Here is a 27,016-nt window from a genome sequence, read left to right as displayed (position 1 = left end):
AGTTGTGTAACAGTTACTATGAAAGAGATTCCAAGCAAATTAGAACAAGTCTGGCCTTTTCAACTGGTTATTTTGAAAAATCAACATGTTAGTGTTGGATTAAGACCAGCTGTTTATAAATTGTCTAAGTTGTTTGCTGATTTTTCTGTATGGTGTTAAAAAAAAAACTCATCAATAAATTTGTCCCATGACTTCTAATGATAATCCTTTTTAAATACACATATTATTTTGTTTTAGGTTTGCCATAAACTGGAACTTGCAGATCAATAGCAATAAAGCCTTTCTGGATTTGAGTAATGTTTACCTTTGGATGGGCCCTGTGTTTATTTAGATTTCTTGTACTGGTTCTGGGCTTCCCTCAAAGAGCCCCTGCCTCCAGCCCTTCTGACCTTTCATCTTGTGCTTCTCGTTAGCACTGGATTCTGCTTCTGGATTTCTGCTTTGGTCTCTTTTATATCTGCTTCCTTCCCTCCTCTCAGTTCTGTGTGTGGAAAATTAGGTTATGGCACCTGCTCCCCATCATGTAATCTGCCCAGCTGACTGTGTAGGATATTAATAATAGGGTTGTCTTTGATGTTTGGATAAAGATGGCCATGCCTGTGTGTGTGTGTGTGTGTGTGTGTGTGTGTGTGTGTGTGTGTGTGTAAAACTATCAAAAGTTTACACATCCATAGGATGTGATCTTATGATTACCCTGGTTGTGTGCACTGAAATAGCATTTTCTCTTTCCCTGGTATCCACGTATTTTAGACTAGCAGTGCCTAATACCATTATAATGGAAGTCACATATGTAATTTTGAGGTAGCTACATTAAAGGAAAACAAGAACAATTAATTTTAGTAATATATTTTATAAGCTGATATATTAAAAATAGTATTTCAACACAATCAATATAAAGTTATTAATGAGATATTTGCATTCTTTTTTATTTTCATAGCAACCCTTTGAAGTCTATTGTATATGTTACATTCATAGCACATACCAGTTGGACCAACACGTTTAAGATGCTCAGTAGCCACCTGGGGCTGGTGGCTCCCGCATTGGATAGCACAGTTTAAACCCCACATAGCTTTACTTACCACTGAGCAATATGTTTTCAACTTCCAAGCTCTTGGATTTTTCAGTATTTCATAATGTAAGCCCCTTCTATTTCAGGGACTATGTAATAATACATACTCACACTTGAATGATGCTACTAAAGCTTCCCCTTCCTCACCTTTTTCCTTTCAAATTTAGATTTTCTGTTGCCTGGAAAATGCACATGAACCAGTTCAACAAGTAAATTGATCTCCCCTGCTGCCCCCTACCCCAGTCTATATGTATATTTTTCTTTTTTACCCAAGAATCACAAATACGTTCTATAGCTTATAATTTTATTTTTTTGGAGGGGACAGGGTCTCCCTCTGTTATCCAAGCTGGAGTATGGTGGTATGATTATAGCTCACCGCAGCCTTGATCTCCTGATCTTCCCTTTTTTTTTTTTTTTTTGAGATGGAGTCTCACTCAGTCACCCAGGGTGGAGTGCAGTGGCACAATCTTGGGTCACTTTAACCTCTGCCTCCCAGGTTCAAGCAATTCTCCTGCCCCAGCCTCCTGAGTAGCTGGAATTACAGGCGCATGCCACCACGCTCAGCTAATTTTTGTATTCTTAGTAGAGATGGTGTTTCTCCACATTGGCCACACTGGTCTCCAACTCCTGACCTCAAGTGATCTGCCTCCCTTGGCCTCCCAAAGTGCTGGGATTACAGGCTTGAGCCACCGCGCCCGGCTGAGGGTGATGCTTCCTCTTCAGCTTGCCTGGTAGCTGGGACTACAAGCATGCACCACCATACCTGGCTAATTTTTTGTAGAGACGGGGTTTTGCTGTGTTACCCAGGCTGGTCTCGAACTTCTGGGCTCAAGTGATACGCCTGCCTTGGCCTCCCAAAGTACTGGGATTACAAATGTGAGCCACTGGGCCCAGCCAGTTTATAATTTTGACAAGTTAAAGTTTGGTTGCAATGAATGAGTCTCATTTCTTTTTCAAATAAAGAAGATCTAGGAAATGTGAAGAAGTATAGTAACTAATGTTAGATAAAGACAGCCCTTGGAAGAGTTGAGATCCAAGAATAAAAAGGATTTAAGGAAAATCAGGAACCCCTGAACACAGTAGGTTTACCGAGTATGAAGAGCGCTTACCTTTTGACCACACCTTTGGTTTCCTAAGTTACTCAGGTGCCATCAGCAAGCCCTTAGGAATGATAAATTTAGGCTCCTGGTTACCAGGAAACTCTAGCCCTCCCAGCGCTCTCTCCGGGAGCACACTGACTATATCAATAGGGTGTTTTTTCTCAGCACTGGTGTTGACTGCCAGAATTTCTCTTCTAGTTTGTCTTACCTGTATATTTATTTCAGTGTTGTCCTTAGATAATGGCTCAAGCTTTTAAGAATTATGAAAGTGACATATGTACACTGTAGAAAAATAAGGGGAAAAAAAACCACATATAATCCCATCATCTGGAGATAATCATGTACTATTTTGGTGTTTTCCTCCATTTTCCTTTCTTTTTTTTTTTCTTCTTTTCCCTTCTCTTCTACTCTTCTCTTCCTTCCTTTTTTTCTTTTCTTCTTTTTTTTTTTTTTGAGACAGAGTCTTGCTCTCATCACCCAGGCTGGGATGCAGTGGTGCGATCTCACTGCAACTCTACCTCCCGGGTGCAGGGGATCCTCCTGCCTCAGCCTCCTGAGTAGCTGGGACTGCAGGAGTGTGCTACCACACCTGGCTAATTTTTTGGTGTCCCTTCATTTTCTGCATGTGTGCACACACTGAAATGGGATTATCAGGTTTGTTTTGTAAGCCTGTCTTTTTCTCAGCTTAATAATGCACTCCTTACGTTGCCACGTCAGTCACCCATGTTTTAATCTCTGTAATATGCTCATATAAGAATGTGCCCACAATTGTACCAACCAGTCCTCTATTTTAGGCATTAATATTTTCCCCTCCGGTTTTGGATTACTCTTAAGCATTATTTTAATGAACACTCACAAAATGAAAAATTTAAGCCTGTTTTAATTATTTTGCTAGGATAAATTCCTTAAGAGTAAAATTGTTAGGTCAAAGGCTATGTGTATTTTTAGAGCCTTTGATTGGTGATGTTAAATTACCATCTAAAAATGTTATGTCTGGGTGCAGTGGTTCACGCCTATAATCCCAGCACTTTGGGAGGCTGATGTGGGCGGATTGCTTGAGCCCAGGAGTTCAAGACCAGCCAGGGCAACGTGGGGAGACCCCATCTCTACCAAAAATAGAAAAATTAGTATGTGCCTACAATCCCAGCTACTTGGGAGGCTGAGGTGGGAGGATCACCTGAGCCCAGGAAGGTCAAGGCTGCAGTGAGTCATGATTGTGCCACTGCACTCCAGCTTCGGCGACAGAGTGAGACCCTATCTCAAAAAAAAAAAAATAAGTTAATGGCAATTATTACTCCCACTAGCAGTATATCCAAAGTGCTTGCATGTTAACGGGATGTTAAAAATTATTTACTAAATTTACAATTACAATTTGTTGTGTAAATTATAAATGGTACATTTTATTTTATTTCTGCCTTTTTGATTTTTTGCTTTTTTTGAGACAGAGTCTCACTATGTCACCCAGGCTGGAGTGCAGTGGCACGATCTCAGCTCACTGCAACCTCCGCCTTCTGGGTTCAAGTGATTCTGGTGCCTCAGCCTCAGGAGTAGCTGGGACTACAGGTGTGTGCCATCATGCCTGGCTAATTTTTATATTTTTAGTAGAGACGAGTTTTCACCATGTTGGGCAGGCTGGTCTTGAACTCCTGGCCTCAAGTGATCCACCCATCTTGGCCTCCCAAACTGCTGGAATTATAGGCGTGAGCCACCGTGCCTGGTCAGATTTTTTACATTTTTTTTTTTTAATAAGAAAGCTTACATATGGTCATATTCCTATTGGCAACACAGAGAATCATATTAAAGGAGTTATGGCAGCCTTAGGGATTCTTATAGCCATGCAGACTACTTTTAAGTGGCTGTGACTAAGGGGTCCTGAAGCCAGCATGCCAGAGCACCTGCTTTCCTGACTTGGTGGCTTGCTGGATACATCTTTAGGTATATACCCTTCGCTTATTTTCTGCTGATCACAATTTAGGAACTGGATAGACCCAGAAAACGTGGATCCCTGGTTGGCTTCATGAACTTGAGAAAAGCATAACTTTGGATAACGAAGGACATTTGGCATGAATTGTGCTCCTTGCTTTGGGAGAATAGCAAAGAGTGAAGTGAGTGGTTTGGATTTTGGGAGATGTGGAAAGGATTTGCTGAGGAATTGATATTTACATTCTCCAGGTGTTGCAGTATTTCCAGGTAGAGGGAATAGCAGGCTGTGTCCTCCAGCCTTAATTCAACTACCACTGTTAGTTTTGAAGCCTTTTTCCTCTTTGCCATCATCTGGCAACTTTTTTTGAGATAGTCTTGCTCTGTCACCCAGGCTGGAGTGCAGTGGCGTTATCTTGGCTCACTTGCAACCTCCGCCTCCCTGGTTCTAAGCGATTCTCCTGCCTCAGCCCCCTGAGTAGCTGGGATTACAGGTGCATGCCACCACACCCGGCTAATTTTGTATTTTTAGTAGAGATGGGGTTTTACCATGTTGGCAAGGCTGATCTCGAACTCCTGACCTCAGGTGATCCATTGCCTCGACCTCCCAAAGTGCTGGGATTACAGGTGTGAACCACTGCGCCAGGCCATCTAGCAACTTCTTGACCTTTCTTTATGCCCCTTGAATGTTGGCTCCTGGCCTGCCACATTTCTTTCCACTGTGTCTTCTAGCATCATCTCTCAGTCATTGGCTTATCCGGCCACGGGACCTCACTGACCTTTTACCTTTTGCAGGTAGTTTTACTTCCAGTTTATATCAGCTCTCCAAGGCCCAGTCGTCTCCCAGACAGCACTTTGGGATCCTGAGCTGGGAGTGTGTCTACACACCCTGTCCTCCCTAGCTCTCATTCCTCCCCTTCATTGGTCCTGGTGCTCCAGCTCTGTGGTGCTCTCTGGCTTCCTCTTGCCTCCCCAGTCCTTTTTACCTGCTATGGACGCCACAGGAAATCACGTGGCTGCCATCTTACTAACATGGTCTCCTCCCTCTCTGAGCTGTCTCCAGAACTTGTCAAGCTCCCTCAGTGCCCTGGTCTTAACTATTCTGTTTTTTTGGGGCGGGGGTGGTTGAACTCTGCTGGAGAGAAACCAGATAACAAGGTGACTTTCTCTATTTCATATTATGAGTTCTGGGCTCAGCTGGACTTTGATTTTTTTTTTTAAAATAATATCATTTTTCTCATCGTTTTTCTTCTTCCATAGTCACTTCTGTCCAATCCCATTCCCAGCCTTTTTACTCTCAGCCATGACCTCTGCTTCTTAGTTCATTAAGAAAACAAGTGATCAGATAAGCACTCCCCCAACTTCCTGCCCTTCTCTCACCTCATGCTGCCTTGCATAAGGGCAACTGTCTACGTACATCTCTACCCACAGAGGCTATGAGGCAATCACTGCAGATGGTCTGTGTGGAACTGTCCGAACAAATTCCAAAAGTTTTCCTATCAGGGTTATATGAGAACTGCTTTTCGCTCCCTGTGGCTTAGTTAGAGATTCTCTGGCTGAGGGGGATATGTTTGTGTTTTCATAAAAGACAATATTTTAGAAGTGATGTGATACTTGGAGGGGGTTAAATCATCCCCAAAATTAAATCTCCTCCCATCATTAATGGCACAGTCAGGGCTGGAATCTCAGTCATGTGTTCAGTGGCCTGTCCTTATCTGAAATAAAAATACTTTAGATCAAGGGTGTCCAATCTTTTGGCTTCCCTGGGCCACACATAAAATACTCTATCACTAATGATAGCTGATGAGCTTTAAAAAAATCGCAAAAAATCTCAAATGTTTTAAGAAAGTTACGAATTTGTGTTGGGCTGCATTCACAGCTGTCCTGGGCCGAGAGCTGGACAAGCTTGCTTTAGATAGGCCCCACTCTGGGGGATTGGAGATAAAGAGGGCGTAAAATTTATTTGTAATTAAAAAAATAGATAGGCCAGGCGTGGTGGCTCACGCCTGTAATCCCAGCACTTTGGGAGGCCAAGGTGGGCGGATCATGAGGTCAGGGAGATCGAGACCATCCTGGCTAACAAGGTGAAACCCCGTCTCTACTAAAAATACAAAAAATTAGCTGGGCATGGTGACACGTGCCTATAGGGAGAATTGCTTGAACCTGGGAGGTGCAGGTTGCAGTGAGCCAAGATCGTGCCGCCGCACTCCAGCCTGGGCGACAGAGCGAGACTCCGTCTCAAAAAAAAAAAAAAAAGAAAAAGAAAAAAAAAAAAGGATGTGTAATCAGAATGTGCATGAGGACAGGCCAGGCAGGGAGAATAAGCCTCCTTCCTGTCTGGTCCTTGTCCCAGTTTCCATCTCTGGAGGCAGCCACTTTTACCAGTTTTTGTGTGTTCAGACTGTATATCCTTTTAAAGATAGATAGTCTTTGGTTAAACATTTGCTTTTAATTGTGACATTTCAAATATAAAGAAAACTAAAGAATGAAAACTTACCTGCTAGATACCCAGACCTAATAAATCTAAACATGTCATTTTTGCTTCAGGTATTTTGTTTTTGCTTTTTAAGGAAATTGAAACATTTCAGATACCTGGTTTGTCCTCTCTGCTAGCCTCATCTCCCTCTTTCTCTTCTTCCCAGAGGTACCTTTACAGTCCGTGTCTTTACTTTTGTGTTACATGCTTATATATTCACAAACCAACATATAATAATGATTGCGTGATTTAAAACCTTAAATAGTAGATCTTGTGTGTGTGCGTGTGCGCGTGCGCTACAACCTACTTAATCACTCTGGAAAATGTTCCCAAATGTTGGTCCAAGTAGCTAGAGTTCGTTTATTTTAACTACAGTATTTTATTTCATTGATTAAGCATAGCATAACTTAGATATTCTCCTCTTGACATAGCATAATGAACAGAATGACTGTCTTCATCTGGGTGGGTTTCTCTGGGGTGAAGTATGCTAACTGGCCTTGCTGGATCATAGTGCATACACAGTTTCAACCAACTAAATATTAGCAGTGGTTCTCCCAAGTATTTGAACCAATTTTCTTCTCTGTCAACAAGATACAGGAATTCCTGTTTATTCACAGTCTTGCCAATACTTCATATTACTAAACTCTTATTCTAGCCTTATCTGATGAATGTGAAATGATAATTGTGTTTTAATAGAGATAGGCCATGTGGTTTGTGGATATTCACTAGTTGATGTTTACTAGTTAAAGGTGAATGTTGTTTCCAGGTTTTGGCTATTATAAATAAAGCCGCTAGAGGCCAGGTATGATAGCTCACAGTTGTAATCCCAGCACTTTGGGAGGCTGAGGTGGGAGAATCTCTTGAGCTCAGGAGTTTGAGACCAGCCTGGGCAACATAGCGAGACCTCATCTCTACAAAAACAATGACAATAAAAAATAATTAGCTGAGTATGGCAGTACACATCTGTAGTTCTCTCTACTTATGAGGCTGAGGTGGGAGGATTGCTTGAGCTCAGGAGTTTGATGCTGCAATGAGCTATGAGCCTGCCACTGTAATCCTGCCTACGTGACAGAGAGAGACCCTGTGTCTAAAAATAAAAATAGCTGATATGGTGACTCACGCCTGTAATCCCAGTGATCTGGAGGTCAAGGCGGGAGGTTTGCTTGAGCCCGGGCAAGAGCCTGAGCAACATGACGAAACCTCATCTCTACAAAAATTAGAAAAATTAGCCAGGTGTGGTAGCGCACACCTATAGTCCCATCTACTTGGGAGGCTGAGATGGGAGGATCACTTGAGCCCGGGAGGTTGAGGCTGCAGTGAGCCGTGATTGTACTACGGCACTCCAGTCTGGGTAGCAGAGTGAGACCTTGTCTCAAAATAAATAAATACAAATAAAAAATAAAGCCATTATTAACATTTATGTACATGTTCTTGTCTGAACGTAAGGTTTCATTCAGCCATAGATGCCCAGGAGTAGTATTGCTGGGTCTTATGGAAACTTATGTTTAACTTGATAAGAAATGACCAAATGGTTTTTCCAAAGTAGTTGTACCATTTTGCATACCCACCCAAGAGTATGAGAGTTCCAGTAACTTGTCAGCACTTGGTATTGTCTGTTTTTGTTCTAGCCATTTTAATAGGTATGTCATACACCATTTTTTTTTTTTTTTGAGACAGAGTTTTGCTCTTGTTGCCCAGGCTGGAGTGCAATGGCACAATCTTGGCTCACTGCAACCTCTGCCTCCTGGGTTCAAGTGATTCTCCTGCCTCAGCCTCCTGAGTAGCTGGGATTACAGGCATGTGCTACCATGCCCAGCTAATTTTTTTTTTTTTTGTATTTTTAGTAGAGACGGGTTTCTCTGTGTTGGTCAGGCTGATCTTGAACTCCTGACCTCAGGTGATCTGCCCACCTCGGCCTCCCAAAGTGCTAGGATTACAGGCATGAGCCACCACACCTGGCCCTTTCATACAGCTTTTTAATCCAAAGAATGAAACTTAAAAATCAAATTGTATTTTAAAGTTATTTAAAGTAATTGATTTTTGCCCTTCTTGCTCTTGGATGATCTTTTTTTCTTTCTCTTTAATTCAAAATCAGAGCATTGTGTTAGGGTAACCAAATAGTAAAGAGATGGTATAGTACAGCGTAACATTTGCAGCTACTCAGCCAGGCGCGGTGGCTCACACCTATAATCCCAGCAATTTGGGAGGCCGAGGCAGGTCGATTGCTTGAGCTCAGGAGTTTGAGACCAACCTTGGCATCATGGTGAAACCTCATCTCTACCAAAAATACAAAAATTAGCCAGTCTCATAACCCGGTCTCAAAAAAAAAAGATAAATAAACATTTGCAGCTACTGCTAGAAAATTAGATAAATGTATTTTGTTGCTAAGAAATACATAGAATTTTTCATTTACTAGTTGGACTATTTTATTTCTGGAAAATGTATGTTAAAACTTTATAGTGAAGAATGTTAAACCTCCATTTTAATGATGCCATCCACCTACTGGTGTGATTTCTCCCCCTCCCCTCTAGGCTTTAAATAAGATTTAATCTGAGAATACTCATTCCAGTACTAAAAAGAGAAGTGCAGAAACTACAGGAGTAGGGCAGCAATCTTATTTTACAGAGGCATTTTCGGCTCACTGGTTAATGACTTTCCTGCACATACTGCACCATGCATGGTCTCCAGTGAGGGGCACGGATGCCAGTGCAGTGATGCTTTACCACTAACCCTTCTACTGCAGCCTGCTAACTAGGACACACTGTAATGTGAGTCTTGAGCTGGAAGGGTGCAGACAGTCTTCACAGTGGATTTGCTTTGAGAGTTGGATGAAGTGTTTTTACTTCATTGCTGGAATTGTGGTATGTGCTTGTCAGCACACATTCTGAATCATGGCTTGAGATTATGGTTGAGTGGCCAGGTTTTGAGTGGCCAGGCTTTAAGTGTCTGCCAAAGAAGCCAATTTAATAAGTTTTTTTTTTTTTTTTTTGAGATGGAGTCTCACTCTGTTGCCCAGGCTGGAGTGCAGTGGGACGATCTTGGCTCACTGCAACTTCTGCATTCCGGTTTCAGGGGATTCTCCTGCCTCAGCCTCCCGAGTAGCTGGGATTACAGGCGCCCACCACCATGTCTGGCTAATTTTTGTATTTTTAGTAGAGATGGGGTTTCACCATGTTGGCCAGGCTGGTCTTGAACTCCTGACCTCAGGTAATCTGCCCGCCTTGGCCTCCCAAAGTGCTGGGATTACAGGTGTGAGCCACTGCGCTCAGCCTGTTGGGTTTTTTTTCTTTTCTTTTTTTTTTTTTTTGAGGTTATAGTTTTAGCTGCTCTGACATGCTGGGATAAGACCATCAAAGTTTTTTCCTCACATAATCTATCCCCCTCTTTAAAATTTCTAGAGTATTGATTCTTATTTTTAAAATTAATTTTTAGAGATAGTGTCGCTCTGTCATCCAGGCTTGAGTGCAGTGTCATGATCATAGTTCACTGAACGTTGAACTCCTAGGTTCAACCCATCCTCCTGCCTCAGCCTACTGAGTAGCTGGGATAACAGGCACACCTCACCATGCCCAGGTAATTAGAAAAAAAATTTTTTTGTACAGATGGGAGTCTTGCTGTGTTGTCCAGGATGGTCTCAAACTCCTATCCTCAAGTGACCCTCCTGACTCAAGCCCCCCAAAGCACTGGGATTATAAGCATAAGCCACTATGCTTGGCTTCTTAGAGTATTGATTCTTTTACATAGTCCAAGGTGGTTCCTGCAGCCAGTAAGAAGAGGGAAGGAGGCCGGGCGCAGTAACTCACGCCTGTAATCCCAGCACTTTGGGAGGCCAAGGTGGGTGGATCACCTGAGGTCAGGAGTTCGAGACCAGCCTGATTAACATGGAGAAACCCCGTCTCTACTAAAAATATAAAATTAGCCGGGCATGGTGGCACATGCCTGTAATCCCAGCTACTTGGGAGGCGGAGGCAGGAGAATCGCTTGAACCCAGAAGGCAGAGGTTGCAGTGAGCCAAGATCGCGCCATTGCACTCTAGCCTGGGCAACAAGAGTGAAACTCTGTCTCAGAAAAAAAAAAAAAAAAAAAAAAGAAGAGGGAAGGGAGAGGGGAGGGCATGCTTACTTTCACCCATATCCGTTGGCTAAGGCTGGCTGCATCTAGCTGCAAGGGAGCCTGGGAAATGTTGCCTCAGTTAATTTAGTTGGTTGTGTGCCCAACTTAAAACCAAGGATTTTATTAGTTGAATTACTAATCGAATGGCAGAGAAGGGCCCACAGAGATACCTGGTTGCCTCTGACACCTCTTAATGAAATATAAAAGTTGCTACAAGAGTAAGAACAGTCAGTAATTGGAAGCAAATTGAATATGAAATGAAAATGTGTTTTCATTTTGTCTACTTTTCTGTATGTTTGAAATTTTCCAGAAGAAGTTTTTAAAAATCTTACATTTAGGTTTCTTCTACCAAGTGCCATTAGATTTCGTAACACTAGAGGGTGCTGTTAATGCATTTGCTTTTAGCATTTCTAGCATCTGCCCCCTTGTCTTATTACAGAGTCAAAGTAGGTTTTGTCTAGCTGATAATCTTGAATCTCTTTTGTTGTTTTACTCAGTTTTACAACAGCAGGGGCACAGAAATGTCAATATCTAACATTTATCTGGAAAGACAGAAATGATGATTCCAAATGTGGAATTAAAAGAAAAACACATTTTAGATTTTATTCATAAAAGGAAAACAAATCAGAGATTATGTTAATCAGATTAGATATTTTCAAATGCAAAATTATTTCTGAAGAATTAAAAGTTTTTTTCTTGTATTTGTCCATATTTAGCATTTTAGTTGTTTTGCCCTATTTTCTGCCCTGAGTTTTCTAACCATACATACATACTAAGAATTGAGCTATTGATAATTTTTCCTCCTAATATAAGGAGAGGGATATAACTAAAATTTTAAGAATGCAGATAAACACAAAAAGAAACACCCGTAACCCCTATATTATAGAGATTACCACCATAAGCTGCTTGGTGCATAGCCATTTTTTTTTTTAAAGCTCAATCGCACATGTATATATACAGTACTTTTTTAAAAAAAAAAATTATTTTTCAGACAGAATCTCACATTGTTACCCAGGCTGGAGTACAGCGGCCCCATCTCTGTTCACTACAGCCTCGACCTCCACGCTCAAGCGATCCTCCCACCTCAACCCTTCAAGTAGCTAGGACTAAAGGCACTGCCCCCATACCCGGCTAATTTTTTTGTATTTTTTGTAGAGACAGGGCTTCACTATGTTTCCCAGGCTGGTCTCGAGCCCCTGAGGTCAAGTGTTACTCCTACCTTGGCCTCCCAAAGTGCTAGGATTACAGGCATGAGCCATCGCACCCAACCTATACGGTACTTTAAAGAGAGGGGAATCACGAGTTAGTGCTCATGTATGGGAATTTTTTGTATATTCATTTTATAACTTACTATCTTTCTGAAGTATCTTATTCTAGGGTGTGTGTGTGTGTGTGTGTGTGTGTGTGTGTGTGTGTGTGTTTTAACTCATTTTCTGGGTAGACAGATGCATTACCTATAAATAATTATTTTGCTTTCCCTTTTCCATTATTTGAGCTTTCAAATTCTTTTTTCTTCTTTTTAGAGATAGGGTCTTAACTCTGTTGCCCAGGCTGGATTGCAGAGATGTAGTCATTGTTCACTGCAGCCTCAAACTCATGGAGTCAAGCCAGTCCTCCTACCTCAGCCTTCCCAGTAGCTGGGACCACAGGCATGCACCACCATGTCCAGCTAATTAAAAAAATAATTTTTTTTTTAAATAGAGAGTAGGTCTTGTTACGTTGCCCTGGCTGGTCTTGAACTGGCCTGAAGTGATCCTTCTGGCCTCCCAAAACAATGAAATTACAGACCTGAGCCACCGTGCTCAAACAAAATCTTTTTCTTATTGTCCTGGCTAGAACTTCCGGAACAGTCTTCTATAATGGCACCCACCAGACTCCTGTTTCTGTCTTTAAAGGGCACCCCTCTGGGTGTCATTCAGGTTATGTATCTCATTGCCTTTGGTATGAGATCAGGGTTCTTTTCGAGGACTTTTTTCTTAACATGTGTAATGTGCTAAGAGTTTTATTCAAAAATTGACACTGAGTTTTATGCCTTTTTGGTTTCTTTCTTTCTTTCTTTCTTTTTTTTTTTTTTTTTTGTGATGGAGTCTTGCTCTGTCACCCAGGCTGGAGTGCAATGGCACAATCTCGGCTCAACTGCAACCTCCACCTCCTAGGTTCAAGCAATTCTCCTGCCTCAGCTTACCGAGTAGCTGGGACTACAGGCGCCCGCCACCACGCGTGGCTAATTGTTTGTATTTTTAGTAGAGACGGGATTTCACCATGTTGGCCAGGCTGGTCTCAAACTCCTTACCTCAGGTGATCCACCTGCCTTGGCCTCCTAAAGTGCTGGGATTACAGGCATGAGCCACTGCACCCAGCTGAAATGTTCCTTTTTTCATGGGGTTTGAAATTTTCCTTGTGGCATGATAGATGGTGACTTTTCATAAATGCTCTTTAGCCATTGAAAATGAAGCTATTTTCTATGGGGTGCAAAGTTTGATATCTATTATATTAGCCTTATTCATTTTATTGGTCAGATTCTGTGATCAATACAAAATAAAATTAATATGGACATGGGGCCTATGCTTGTATATCCTCCCTACCCCTATCTTCTTGGAGAGAGATATGTTTATGAAGTGTTGGTCATTTCTTCTCTATTTCTAGCCATTATGGGCTTTATTTCAGTGAAAGAATGTTCAGAATGTAAAGACTGACATCATATTCTTCTTGTGAATTTTATCCTTTAGCAATGTAAAATGACATCCTTTCTCCTGCTTAATACTTTTTGGCATGAATTCCACTGTGTCTGACATTTAAAAAATAATAAGGCAGCATTAGTGTTACTTTTTTTCACTTTAAGGTCTATCTTGGGGGTTGGCATTTATTTTATTTTTATTTATCTATTTTTGAGACAGTCTCTGTCTGTCGCTGAGGCTGGTGTGCAGTGGCATAATCTCAGCTGACTGCAACCTCCGCCTCCTGCGTTTAAGTGATTCTCCTGTCTCAGCCTCCCGAGTAGCTAAAACTACAGGTGTGCGCCACCACACTCAGCTAATTTTTGTATTTTTAGTAGAGATGGGGTTTCATCATGTTGGCTAAGCTGGTCTTGAACTCCTGACCCCAAGTAATCTGCCCACCTCAGCCTCCCAAAGTGCTAAGATTACAGACGTGAGCCACTGCATCCGGCTGGCATTTATTTTTTGATGCAATCTGAGTATTTTTAATTAAATGGGTTTAACTCACAGGTCTAGCTGTGTTTTAGTCTGTATTCTGTTTCAAATTCTAATAGTGGTTTTAAGTGAAAAACATAAAAAAAAACCTCGTTTCTCTAATTGTCATAGTTAAGGCCTATGATTCTTTCTGTTTGGGAGAAGGGCTTTAGCATCTTCTTACTCTCTGTTTTCAGTCTTTATTAATGTAATCTTTTCTGTCTGCTTTATTTAATTACATTTCTTTTTTTATTTAATTTAATTTTATTATTATTATTTTTGTGATGGAGTCTTGCTGTGTTGCCAGGCTGGAGTGCAGTGGCGCTATCTTGGCTGACTGCAGTCTCCATCTCCCGGGTTCAAGTGATTGTACTGCCTCAGCCTCCTAAGTAGCTGGGAATACAGGCACGCATCACCACGCCTAGCTAATTTTTGTGTTTTTAGTAGAGACGGGGTTTCACCATGTTGGACAGGGTGGTCTGGATTTCTTGACCTTGTGATCCGCCTGCCTCGGCCTCCCAAAGTGCTGGGATTACAGGCATGAGTCACCGCGCCAGGCCTTTTTTTTTGAGTCTCGTTCTATCACCCAGGTTGGAGTGCAGTGGCACAATTTCGGCTCCCTGCAACCTTCGCCTCCCGGGTTCAAGCAATTCTCCTGCCTCAGCCTCCTGAGTAGCTGGGATTACAGGTACATGCCACCACGCCTGGCTAATTTTTGTATTTTTAGTAGAGATGGAGTTTCACCATGTTGATCAGGCTGGTCTTGAACTCCTGACCTCGTGATCCACCTGCCTTGGCCTCCCAAAGTGCTGCGATTACAGGTGTGAGCCACTGCGCCTGGCCTATTTAATTACATTTCTTATATAGCATATGTTTAGAGAGCAATGTGGCTTATGCATTGCGTTTTATAACCAGGTTTACACTCATTATTTAGCTTTGTCCCTATCTTGATGGTTTTAGCATCCATGCTTAGCAGTCTTGTATACTAGTTAGTGGCCTCTGTGAATTCCACTTCTATATTCCAACCTGGTTGGAATATAGCTTCAGGCTTTCTTTCCCTCCTTTTCTTTTGAGCTCATGCACATCTAAAACTATCTTGTTTGGCTTTCACACATGAAGGGCACCTTATCTGGGTATAAAATTCCTTGTTAAGACCTTTCCCTCAGTTTGTGTTTGTGTTATTGTCTTCTGACATTTAATACTGCTGTGGACAACCCAGGTGCTAAGCTTAATTCAAGCTAACACTTAAGCAAACCAAACATTTTCTCCTCCCTGGATGTGTCTACGATTCTTTCATCCTGTGGTTAAATTATTTTGCTAGGATGTGTCCAAGTATATGATTTTGCATGAACCTAGAATGCCCTTTTAGTCCCTTTACTCAGATTTTTCTTAATCTCAGAATAGTTTTTTAGTCTACATCTTTTATATTAGGTTATTGAAGTCTGCTCCATTTGTTCTTTTTTTTTTTTTTTTTTTTTTTTTGAGTCAGAGTCTTGCTCTGTCGCCCAGGCTGGAGTGTGGTGGTGCAATCTTCGCTCACTGCAACCTCTGCCTCCCAGGTTCAAGCGATTCTCCTGCCCTCAGCCTCACAAGTAGCTGGGATTACAGGCACGTGCCATCACACCCAGCTAATTTTTGTATGTTTAGTAGAGATGGGATTTCACTGTGTTGGCCAGGCTGGTCTCAAACTCCTGACCTTAGGTGATCGTCTGCCTCAGCCTCCCAAAGTGCTAGGATTACAGGTGTGAGCCACCACACCCGACCTCATTTGTTCTTTTTGAAAAAGTTTTATTGAGGTGTATTACACATCATGATAGTCATCATCTTAAAATATACAATTTAGTGGTTTTTAGTATACTGTTATTCACAAAGCTGTACAGCCATCACCACAATACAATTTTAGCACTTTTTTTCATCCTGCAGAGAATCCTAAAACCCATGAATAGTCACTCCCATCCCCACCCCAGCCCCAGGCAATCATCGATGAACTTTCTGCCTCTGGATTTGCCTACTCTGGATGTTTTGTGTAAATGGAATCATACAGCATAGCTGGCTTCATTGCCCCTTTTGTTTCTAAGTCTGCTTGAGAGGCACTGATGAGTCACAGCTTGGCCTTGTTCTTTGCTTTTTCCTGCCCAGCTCTGTCTCGGAATAGCCTTAGCCTTTCTGTAGTTTTCCTTGTCTCTCAGAGTTTCTCAGGTCTGTCACCCACCTCCGTTTCAGTCTTTTGTGATGCCATTTCTCTGGCTTACTTCTGAGTTAGTGCTGGTTCTTCATTTCCCTACTGTTCTTCCCCACCTCAGCGTCTTGTTTTTGATCCATTTTCTCCATATAATTGTCAATCTTGTTTCCTCTTTTAAAAAAATACCAACTTAAAAAATGTTTTTCTTCCTTTATTCCAACTGTGGGTTTTTGTTTTTGTTTTAAATTTTCTTTTGGCTCCTGCAACAAATCTTCTCTGATGTTAGAGTCTTCACAGCATGTCCTGAATACCGTTCTTGGCTCCCCTAGGCGTGTTGACCTGATGGGTTGGATGTGTCATGTGCGGACCTGTGTTCTGGGCGCTTGTGGTGGTGGGTCTCCTGCCCTGAGCAGTTGAAGCACCTGGCTCCCAACCTTCTCCCCAGTTTCTGCTAAGGTGTCACTTCTGGTCAGGTGGTGTCATCCTCTTATCCCACTGCTGAGCTCCTCAAAGTTTCTGTGAATGAGGAATACTTACAGCTGCTTTTCTCCAGGAATTGTCCTGGTTCTTTTTCTGTCTTTATCTCAGGGACTCCCATCTTCTAAGATGTCCCTTGCTGATGGTCGATGCCTCTTCTGCCTGGCTGTTTGTCATCTGAGCCTCGAGTTCCCTTTCTGGATTTGGGAAGGGCAGTCTGGTGTTAGGGAGATGGAGGCAGGTATTTGCATATTCCACAGGGCAGAGGGTGCCCACTGCCCAGGTTCCTGGTAGGCCCTGGCTTGGAGTCAGGACTGGGAAGGGCAAAGTCTGGCCACAGGTGTGACTTCTTTCCTAGTCCTGATGTCAGACTGTCAGTGTGCATGCATCACTTTTGTGTCTTCATGGGTACTTCCACTGTTCAGTAGGAATCAGTGGAGACCTGCCTGCTGGATGCCACGTTGAACTGGACCCCAGCAGTCAGCTCTCCAATGTGACAGTTACTTGTTGGCTTTGCCTACCTTTTAATGATGAACTCCTACCTTGAGATCTGAAATTTTTTGAGCTTTGAAAACAATTGTCTTTGGGCCCTGATTGGGGAAATGGAAACTTACCAGGTAGTAAAATTAATCTCCCTTTTCACTGAGCTGGAAGCAGCATGGGTGGACTTATTCATCTGAACTGAAGGGTTTACAAAGATAGGTTTTAATTTTCCTTCTTAGTGCAGGTTTGAGACGTATTCTCAGCAGCTGCTTGGTTTCTACAATAGACTATCCAGCCTGCCATGGAGAAACCTGCTACAGATTGATGTTAAGGAAACCATAATAGAGGCATGCAGTAACTGTTTGTAACCGGGTGGTGGCTGTTGTGTAACACAAATAGCATTTCTAATGAGGTGGTGCGGTTATACAATTTTGGCCAGCCTGTGTGGGTTATAAAAGCTGAAATTCCTTCAGCACCTGAGAGCGTCTCATGCTGAGTACCAGGACAATCGCAGGGTTGCACAGACACCGGCACAGAAGTGGTGGGTGACGCACTGATTAGAGGACATTTCTGTGGAAGGGTGGAGTTTCACTTTGAAGGTAAGGCCATTTGGCGGTTCTGCTTTGGGGAATGAGTTGTGAGGATATACAGATTGATTACTATCTGTTTGTGTCTGTGTGCATTTGGGTCTGCGTGTATCTGTTTCCATGTGAGTATCTGAGTGTTTGTATCTCTGGTGATGTTTCTGATTTTCTACATATATGTCTGTTTCTGTGTGTGTGCGCGCCTGTGTGTGTGTGACTGTGCCTGTGTAGGTGGGTGAGAAGTTCTCAGTTTTGCACAGCTGCATTACTAGAAAATCTCCAAAGGGTTTCTTAGTGCTGTCAGACATAATTTAAATATCAAAAACTGAACATTAACATTTATGCACTTCTTAGAAGGCACCGCCCTTAGGTATGTGAGAGAGAATAGCAATAAAAACTTCATCTGCAGCGAGTAAAATTTCTGTGTTTTTCAGGTGCTTATTTACTTTCCAGAGTAAATAAAGTAAAAACGATGTAAGTAAATTACTTATTTTCAGAGTCCAATCTAGTGCCAGGATTGCCAAAGCTCTGCTGTGTGTTCTTTTATGTTTTCCTTTTTTTTTTTTTTTTTTGAGATGGAGTCTCGCTCTGTCACCCAGGCTGGAGTGCAATGGTGCGATCTCGGCTCACTGCAATCTCCGCCTCCCAGGTTCAAGCAACTCTCCCGCCTCAGACTCCCAAATAGCTGGGATTACAGGTGCCTGCCACCACGCCTGGCTACTTTTTTTCTATTTTTAGTAGAGATGGGGTTTCACCATGTTGAGCAGGCTGGTCTCAAACTCCTGACCTCAGGTAATCCATCCGTCTTGGCCTCCCAAAGTGCAGGGGTTACATGTGTGAGCCACCGTGCCCAGCCTATGTTTTCCTTCTATGCAGAGTTTCAGAAGTCTGATGAAAAGTAAGTAAACAACCAAAAAGGAATATAAGTGAAACAAACTTCATGGAGAGCTAGAGTGTCTTATAGCTGAGTGCAGATATATTTTTAATTCTTTTAAGGTCTTTGGGTTATTAAAAAATGTCAGGTTCAGATACCAGAAAAAAGCAAGACATCTGTAGCATACAATTCTAAGTGATTGCAGTCTCTGTATTTAATGAATATAATTTTTAATGAATTGCTTAGGAAGAACACACTCCTGTGCAGGAAAAAGAGTGTATAACATACAGGCATGGAATATTTAAAGCCTCCCATTTATTGAAGATCAGGGAAAAGCTTTGCAATAATTTTGATCACCACGTATGTGGTGTTAACCTGGGGAAGAATTAGTGTCCCAGCCCCAGATAATTGCAGTGCAGTTTAGGCAAACCCACTCTTCAGCCCTTAGGTAATCTATTAGAGCAGGTGAATCCCTCAGAGCTCCCTTTTCCTTATCTTGGGAGAGTCTGCAGGGAAGAGGAACTCTTGGTATACTGGACTAGTGGGGAGCAGGGGGTATGGTGTGGTGGGGAGAAACAGTACTGCACAAGAGATTTGCAAATGGAATGTCTTCCAGATGAGACCGGGAAAGTGGTTGGTGTTGAGAGGACTGAATAAATGGGCCAAAGTCCAGCAAAACCAAGCAGGCGTAATTGGGTAGTTAGGAAATAGAGGCAAAGTGGAGCTGGATCTTTCTCTGCAGGTGAAAGAAGGAAATTTGGCTTTGGTCCTTGGAGAATGACATGGTCTGAAGAGCAGATCACAGAGAGGGCTGGTGAGTCCGTTGAGTTACTTGAGATGCTTCTCCCAGCACCTGAGCCTGCCTTCTCCCAGCAGGGGCAGCTCTGGCAACAGTAGCTGGAGGTGACCAAGTGCCCTACTGAGGCTTCCTCTTCAGGGACTGTGCTGGAAAGAGGATGGAGCAGGCATCCCAGACACAGTGGGACTGAATCAGCAGGGCACAGCCATCTCCTGGAAGTTATCCAGGCTCCCAAGATTTTTGTATTGGGTGAGCCAGGGGGAGCATCAAATGACAAAAGGCATCTGGAGACCTGGAAGAGAAGAAAGCATTCTTTCTATTCCCTGAAAGTAACTCACAAATTTTCCTCAGCTTCCTTCAGAATGACTTTTAGATATGACCTTCTCAGGCCTATTCTGGTCTTTTGGCCTTTTCTTCAGAGTCTCGTTCTCTTAGCTTGGAAGGTAACACGAACAACGTTTGTCTTCCAGAATGATTGTTGGACCCACAACATTGGCCCTGAGCTTTTTTGCAGAGATAAATCAACCTCTCTGTGCTCCAGTTTCTCATCTGTGAAATGGAGAGAATAACAACCCCTCCCAGAATTTTTATAAGGGCTAAGTGAAACCATGTTTGTGCCTGGGACTTGATAGTTCATTATGCACATGTTTTTATCTTGTTGTTAAAATTCCATATAAAATTAGCTTTTCAGTGGCTCCTGTGATGACTGATGATTAATACATTTTAAATAGTGTTGAAATAAAAAGCACCATGTGTGCAAAAAGTGATGTGTTAAATCACGTAGTAGAAATAAATGCAATAAAACTCATCTTTGTTCTGCTTTAGTTTGCTAAAATGTACATTCAGATTTTAATTTTGTCATGCAGGCTGCACTTTTTGCTATACTGCCCCTCCCTTTCCCCTTTCACGTCCCAGCCACAAGATTTCCCTGAACGAGTCAGGGATTTCCCCAAGTATTTGAATGCCTTTTATGCATTGGACACTGTGTCCCTGCTGCCATCTCATTCTGGTGGGGAGCGGACAGGAAGCTGGGAACCATGGAAACACAGAAGACGGACAGCTGACCCAGGAGTGCTCCCTGGAGGAGGAGGTCTCTTGAGCCCAGACCTGGGAACTCTGGAGGTCAGCGTGGGCAGTGTGGGCAGCACCTGGCACTGAGGAGAAATGGCCAGGATGACGAGGCTTAAGATGGTCTTGTTATAATTTTATTTAAATAAAGTTTTGGAAAGAAAACTTCTGCTGAAAGATACCAGGTACAGTAGGCGCTGTAGCATCTGTTTGCTATAGCATTAGGTTAGAAAAAGAAAGACTGCGGATGACTTTGTATCTTAAACCCCCAAACAAACAAAGCATACACCACTCTGACATTTTACTTTCTCAGACTCCATCGCTCTTCTGAACAAGCAGGCAAATGAGTTATCGTCTTGTCACCTAGATACCATGACCATCACCTTTCATGGCTCATGCATAATTCGATGGCAGCAAAATGACGTGTCTCAGGCTGGACTCAGGAGCTTTTTTAGGATTTAGTGTTGCATTTGGGACTAGAGCTTGTCTGTACCAGAGCTTCTGGGACTAAGTCTTTGGGCTGGACTGAAGGGATCTTCTGTAGGCAGAGCCCATTCTTCAACATCTTGTTTCATTCTGTCAGTTGTGCATTTTACTTTATGTGCCATAAACTATTTGCTGTCAGTTAGGAATGATCCTCCCCACCCAACTCACCCCATGGATGTTTCAGGAAAATTTCCCACGTTTATCCAGTGGCATCGCATCCTCTCTGGCCCACTGGTGAGGACCTGAGAACCCATTTTTAGATTATTTCTAACTAGTACAGTGTTTGCCCAGGGACCCTTTTTTTCTACAGTCAGAGCAGGGTTGCTACTGTCAGGACCCCTCTTGGGGCCCTGGGAGTGGCCTCTAAGGGATCATTACTCCTGGGGCTCGCTACAGATGGAAACTGGTTTCTGAGATGGAACTTGGCAGTGGTACCTATGTTCCCTCTCAGAAATCCAGGTTTTATCTGGCTTCCTTTAAAACATTTCCAACTCTTAAAAGAATTAAGTCCACAAACTGAGACAGTGACAGAAGGCTGAGATGGCACATTAGGGTGCAAAGGAGATTCCTTCCATTGCAGTCATTGGGGGTAGTTTGGTTTAGGGCTCTGGTAGATTATTGTAATTAATTATAAGGCCACCCTGGTGCTGCAATTCTGGGTACCCCCTCCATCATTGTGGCAGGGGAATATGATGATATTTTGTCATCAGTGCCATCATCTTATACCGCTTTCTCACTTTGGCACAATATTTCTATGGGCATGTTAGTTTAAGGTCAGTAAATAATCTGATTTAAGTCGGGCACTTGGAACATGCCTTTCATGTCAGTGTGCAGAGTTTTTCCATCAGTGACTTGCAGACTCTTTTCCCCTGACCCACAGCATGAAGCATTTTACCTTGACACTCTCGGTTACCCCTGTCTTTTGAGATATGCTCTGAAGTTTTTTGTTCTGTCAAATGCCATTGTTTTAAAAATTCTGGTCAAGATCCACTAATTTAATTTCATGACCTACTAGTAGGTACTGACTTGCGGTTTGAAAAATGAGCGCTGGCTAGGCATGGTGGCTCATGCCTGTGATCCCAGCACTTTGAGAGGCTGAGGCGGGAGGATTGCTTGAGCTCAGGAGTTCGAGACCAGCCTGGGCAACAAGTAGACCCTGTCTCTACAAAAAATACAAACATTTGCTGGGCATAGTGGCGCATGCCTGTGGTCACAGCTACTCAGGAGGCTGAGGTGGGAGGTTGCAGTGAGCTGCGATTGCTTGACTGTACTCCAACCTGGGTGCCAGAGCCAGACTGTGTCTCAAAAAAGACAAACAAACAAACAAACAAACAAACAAGATCAAGAGTTCCTGCAGTGTTTTGGAGAAGACTGCAGGATGATTGTTATTTTTTTTTTAAATTCAGTCACATGCTGTGAGCATACTTGTCATCACAAGATCAAATAATCACCACTGCTTACAAGTTCATTCGTTGCTGCTTGGAGCTTTAAATGGAATAATTATAGCTAGGATCAGCATCAGAATTGCAAACTCCCTGAAGTCGGACTCTGTGTATTAGGTAACCAGTTAAGTCATTTCATTCAAAGGAAGTTGATCATATACAAGTTGAAGATTTTTTTTTTTTTTTTTTGAGAATTCAGAGCGTTTCATTCAAAACTAGCCCTCACCACACCTACAAGTTGAGGGCATATGTTCCAACAGTCTTTTCTGACTTGAATTAAAAGCATTTAGGTCAAATGTTAGCATTTAACAGAACTTAATGGAGCAGCCACAGTTTGATTATAATCCCCTTAATGGGATTTAAGCAAAGAGCCATGGATTGGCTTTTGAAATGTGCTTCATCATTGAACCTAGCCGGCCCTGAAAGCTCTTGTGTCTTAGTGAGAACCAAAGTAGCACTTGGCAGGCTGAGGTTTTGAGTGTCCTTATCCCAGAGGGCACTCCTTCTTAGTCATATTCTTCCCCTGTCTGGATTGGTTTAAAGAAGTGCAGACAATAGCTTTTTCCCAGCCAAGATTGCCTATCCCAAGGTGTGGGTGATCTGAGGACCTCTAGCATGAGAATATTTGTGCATTTGTTAAAAATACAGGTTCCTGGCCGGGTGCGGTGGCTCATGCCTGTAATCCCAGCACTTTGGGAGGCCAAGGCAGGTGGATCACGAGGTCAGGAGTTCAAGACCAGCCTGGCCAAGATGGTGAAACCCTGTCTCTACTAAAAATACAAAAATTAGCCGGGTGTGGTGGGGCACACCTGTAATCCCAGCTGCTTGGGAGGCTGAGGCAGAGAGTTGTTTGAACCCGGGAGGTGGAGGTTGCAGTGAGCTGAGACTGCACCACTGCACTCCAGCCTGGGCGACGGAGCAAGACTCCATCTCAACAAACAAACAAACAAAAATACAGGTTCCCAAGCCCCCAAGGTAGGTCTATAGGATTAGAATATGAGGAGGGGACATTTTTAAAATTGGTGGGATTACAGGGTTTTTTAATTCTTTTAGTCTTCTAAAGTCAATTTTATTGCGATAGTGTTTACATAGAGCAAGTGGATATACATCCAAATGGAGCCACCAGAATCACAGTCAAAACAGTAGATTTCTATCATTCCAAAGGTTCCATCCTTTCCCTGGGGAGCCCTTTCCTCCATTCTTGCCCTAGGTAACCACTCTCCGCTTCCCGTAGAATGGTTTGTCTTTTGAGAATCAGACTGCATGTCTCGTGTCTGGCTGCTTTAACGAAATGTCTGTGCAGCTCCCTTGTGCTGTCGGGCACGTCAGCAGACGCTCTCTGGTTTGTTGCTAACTAGCATGCCTTTTGATGGACCCACCATGATTTGCTTACCCGTCCACCTCTTGATGGCTCTTTGGATGTTTCTAGTTTGGGGCTGTTATAAATAAAACAGTGTCAAATTTTTGTCTTACATGTATTTGTGTGAAAGAAATCTGTCTTTTTTTTTTTTTTTTTGAGACAGAGTCTGACTCTGTTGCCTGGGCTGGAGTGTAGTCGTGCAGTCTCAGCTCACTGCAACCTTTACCTTCTGGACTCAAGCCATCCTCCCACCTCAGTCTCCTAAATAACTGGGACTACAGGCGGATACCACCATGCCTGGCTAATTTTTCTGTTTTTTTTTTTTGGTAGAAATGGGGTTTCGTCACGTTGCCCAGGCTGGTCTTGAACTCCTGGGCTCAAGCGATCCGCCTGCCTCAGCCTCCCAAAGTGCTGGGATTGCAGGTGTGATCCACCGTGCCTGGCCCAGAAGTGTATATTTTAAATAAGCTTCCCATGTGAGTCTTAAGCACATGAGCCACTGATTCTTATTCTGGCTCTTCCTCTCTCTCGTATCCTTTTGGAGAAGTGTGGGTTTTTGTCTAGAGCAAATGATGGATTTGCCATGGATTTATATTTCTGATATAGTATTTATTCAGTGCCGTCTACTTGGAGTAAATGTAAATTTCATTAGCATTTATGGAACATCTATCTTCTCCACACCGCCCCACCCCCCGCCCTGTGTACTTCCTTGTAAAGAGCATCTGTCTATTCTGTACTAGGAGCTGGGAATATAAAGATGAATTTTATGTTTTATTTTTTGTAGAGTCAGAGTCTCGCTATGTTGCTCAGGCTGATCTCGAACTCTTGGCCTCAAGCAATCTTCCCAACTAGGCCTCCCAAAGCGTTGGGAGTCACTGTGCCCAGCCTTAAAGATGAATTTTACATAGGGGGATTCTACTCTTTGGGCAGACTATTAGTGATTAATTCATTCAGCCATTGGAGGGTTTCTGTGTTACCTGCTCACTCTGCTAGGTGCTGATCATGAAAGGACAGGTTTTTCTTAGGATTTGGTGGTTCTTTCGAGAAACACAGAAGGTTTTGGTATTTAACTCCACGAATAGCTCAGCTCTGAAAACTTCTGGACAGTGCCATCACATTTCTCCTTCAGGTGGCCCTGCTAAGCCACAGTGAGAGGGGTGACTCTGTTTCCTGGACAGGGAGAGATGGTCGGATAAAATGAAGTTCAAAAGAAATCATTACAGGCTGAATAGCTGATGAAACAAGTACTGATTAAAAGCTTCTGCATTTGTGCGTGATTGTTGGTGGGTGGAGAGCTAGTGATTCAGTCCTTAGGGAATTGGAAGATTTGTTACACGTCTAAATATTTTATTTTACTTTTCTACTTCCTCATAACAGAATTTTCCAGATGGCTGATTTTTTTTATCTGTCAGGTTTACATTTATTTCCAGGCGACTTTTTTTTTTTTTTTTTTTTTGAGACTGTAGCGATTTCCTGCTTCCTTTAAGGTAGTGATTTTTAACTTTGGCTGCAGGGAGCTTTAAGAAATCTAGATACCAAGTATAATTTGTAGCACCTTGGCTTTTCTCCACTCTCTTCTGAAACCCAAAGTTATTTTAGAACTTTAAACATGAGGACATTATTCCGCACTGCTGTATCCTGAGCTCACAGCAGAAAGGACTGAATTGATTTGCTTGCATTACATTGTAAAGGGGGTAGATGCTGTAAGGGGAACCAGCCTTTCCCCTGGACTTGAGTCTGAGGAGTAAGGAAGAACTGGTGCTAATGTGGACACCATGAGGCTCTTAGGGGTGAAATTGGGCCCATCTTTTGTAGTTAAGTTAGTTTAGAAAATATAGAGGAGTAAAAACAGGAAAATAAGTCATTTGTGTTTCTATCACTCAACATTTTGGTTAACATTTTGGTGTGTGTATACATGGCCACATACTTTACACATACACAGTGGGTTAATGCTGTACATACTATCTTTTTCATTATATATATTGCTTTTAATTCTTTTCACTTATGAAATAACTTTTTTCACTCAAAACTAGTATCTTCTACCATTCTTTTTATTTTTTTATTTTTATTATGATAAGAACATTTAACACGAGATCTACCTTATTAACAACTTTTTTTTTTTTTTCCTCGAGACAGAGTCTCACCCTGTCACCCAGACTGGAGTGCCGTGGTGGGATCTTGGCTTACTGCAACCTCTGCCTCCTGGGTTCAAGTGTGTCTCCTATCTCAGCCTACCAAGTGGCTGGGATTACAGGCATGCTCCACCACGCCTGGCTATTTTTTATATTTTTAGTAGAGATGGGTTTCACCATGTTGGCCAGGCTGGTTTCGAACTCCTGACCTCAGGTAATCTGCCCACCTTGGCCTCCCAAAGTGCTAGGATTACAGGCCCAGCCGACAACTTTTTGAGTGTACAATATGGTATTGTTTTGTTTTCTGGCTAATTTAAAAAAATTTCATTTTTTGTAGAGATGGAATCTTACTATGTTGCCCAGGCTGATCTTGAACTCTTGGCCTCAAGCAATCGTCCCACTCTTAGCCTCCCAGAGTACTAAGATTATAGGCGTGCATGAGCCACCATGCCTGACCGACGTATTGTTAATTATAGGCACAGTGTGGTCCAGCAGATCTCTAGAATTTGCTCATGTTGTGTAACTGAAACTTTTTTTTTTTTTGAGACAGAGTCTTGCTCTGTCGCCCAGGCTGGAGTGTAGTGGTGCAATCTCGGCTTACTGCAACCTCCGCCTCCTGGGTTCAAGTGATTCTTGTGCCTCAGCCTCCTAAGTAGTTGGGCTTATAGGCGTGCACCACCACGCTGAGCTAACTTTTGTATTTTTGGTAGAGACGGGTTTTCACCATGTTGGCCAGGCTGGTCTTGAACTCCCGACCTCAGGCAGTCCTCCTGCCTTGGCCTCCCGAAGTGCTGGGATTACAGGCGTGAGCCACCGTACCTGGCAACCTAAAACCTTTAACCTGTTGAAGTCAGTTCTCCATTGACCGCCCCCCCAAGTCCCTGGAATCCACCATCCTACTCTGCTTCTGCATTTGACTATTTTAGACGCCTCACGTAAGTGGAATCATGCAGTATTTGTCCTTCTGTGACTGGCTTGTTTCACTTTATGGAAAGATGTTCACCCTGTGTTATGTAAAAAGGCAAGTTAAAAAATAACACATATATAACAGGGTAAACATCTTTCCATGTCAATAAATATTTCTGTGCTTTCTTAACAATGTTAAAATGTAGACGTTAGGTCTTACTTTTTCTGGATTTTGTTACTTGGTGGTAACCAATTGTCTTGGCATGTATAGTTGGTTTTATGATTTGAAGTGCTGCCATATCATATGTACATCAGTTTTTGGGTTTTTTTTTTAATGACTAATAGTTACTTTGT

General features: G+C 42.6%; 1 protein-coding gene across 2 annotated transcripts in view, besides 1 other annotated feature; it reads left to right on the top strand.

The window, feature by feature from the left end:
• SLC23A2 (solute carrier family 23 member 2) overlaps window positions 1-27,016 on the top strand; it is a 157,956-nt gene that overhangs the window by 42,859 nt on the left and 88,081 nt on the right. The gene's annotated exons all lie outside the window — the stretch shown is intronic.
• Window positions 17,854-17,903: a silencer, noted in NCBI's record as "silent region_12650". NCBI's record gives its function as "represses an Ori minimal core promoter by ATAC-STARR-seq in GM12878 lymphoblastoid cells {active_cell/tissue: GM12878}" and the evidence as "EXISTENCE:reporter gene assay evidence [ECO:0000049][PMID:35858748]".

This window comes from Homo sapiens, chromosome 20 (genome assembly GCF_000001405.40).
Source record: "Homo sapiens chromosome 20, GRCh38.p14 Primary Assembly".
NCBI lineage: Eukaryota > Metazoa > Chordata > Mammalia > Primates > Hominidae > Homo > Homo sapiens.
This window is presented reverse-complemented; position numbering and strand designations above follow the sequence as displayed.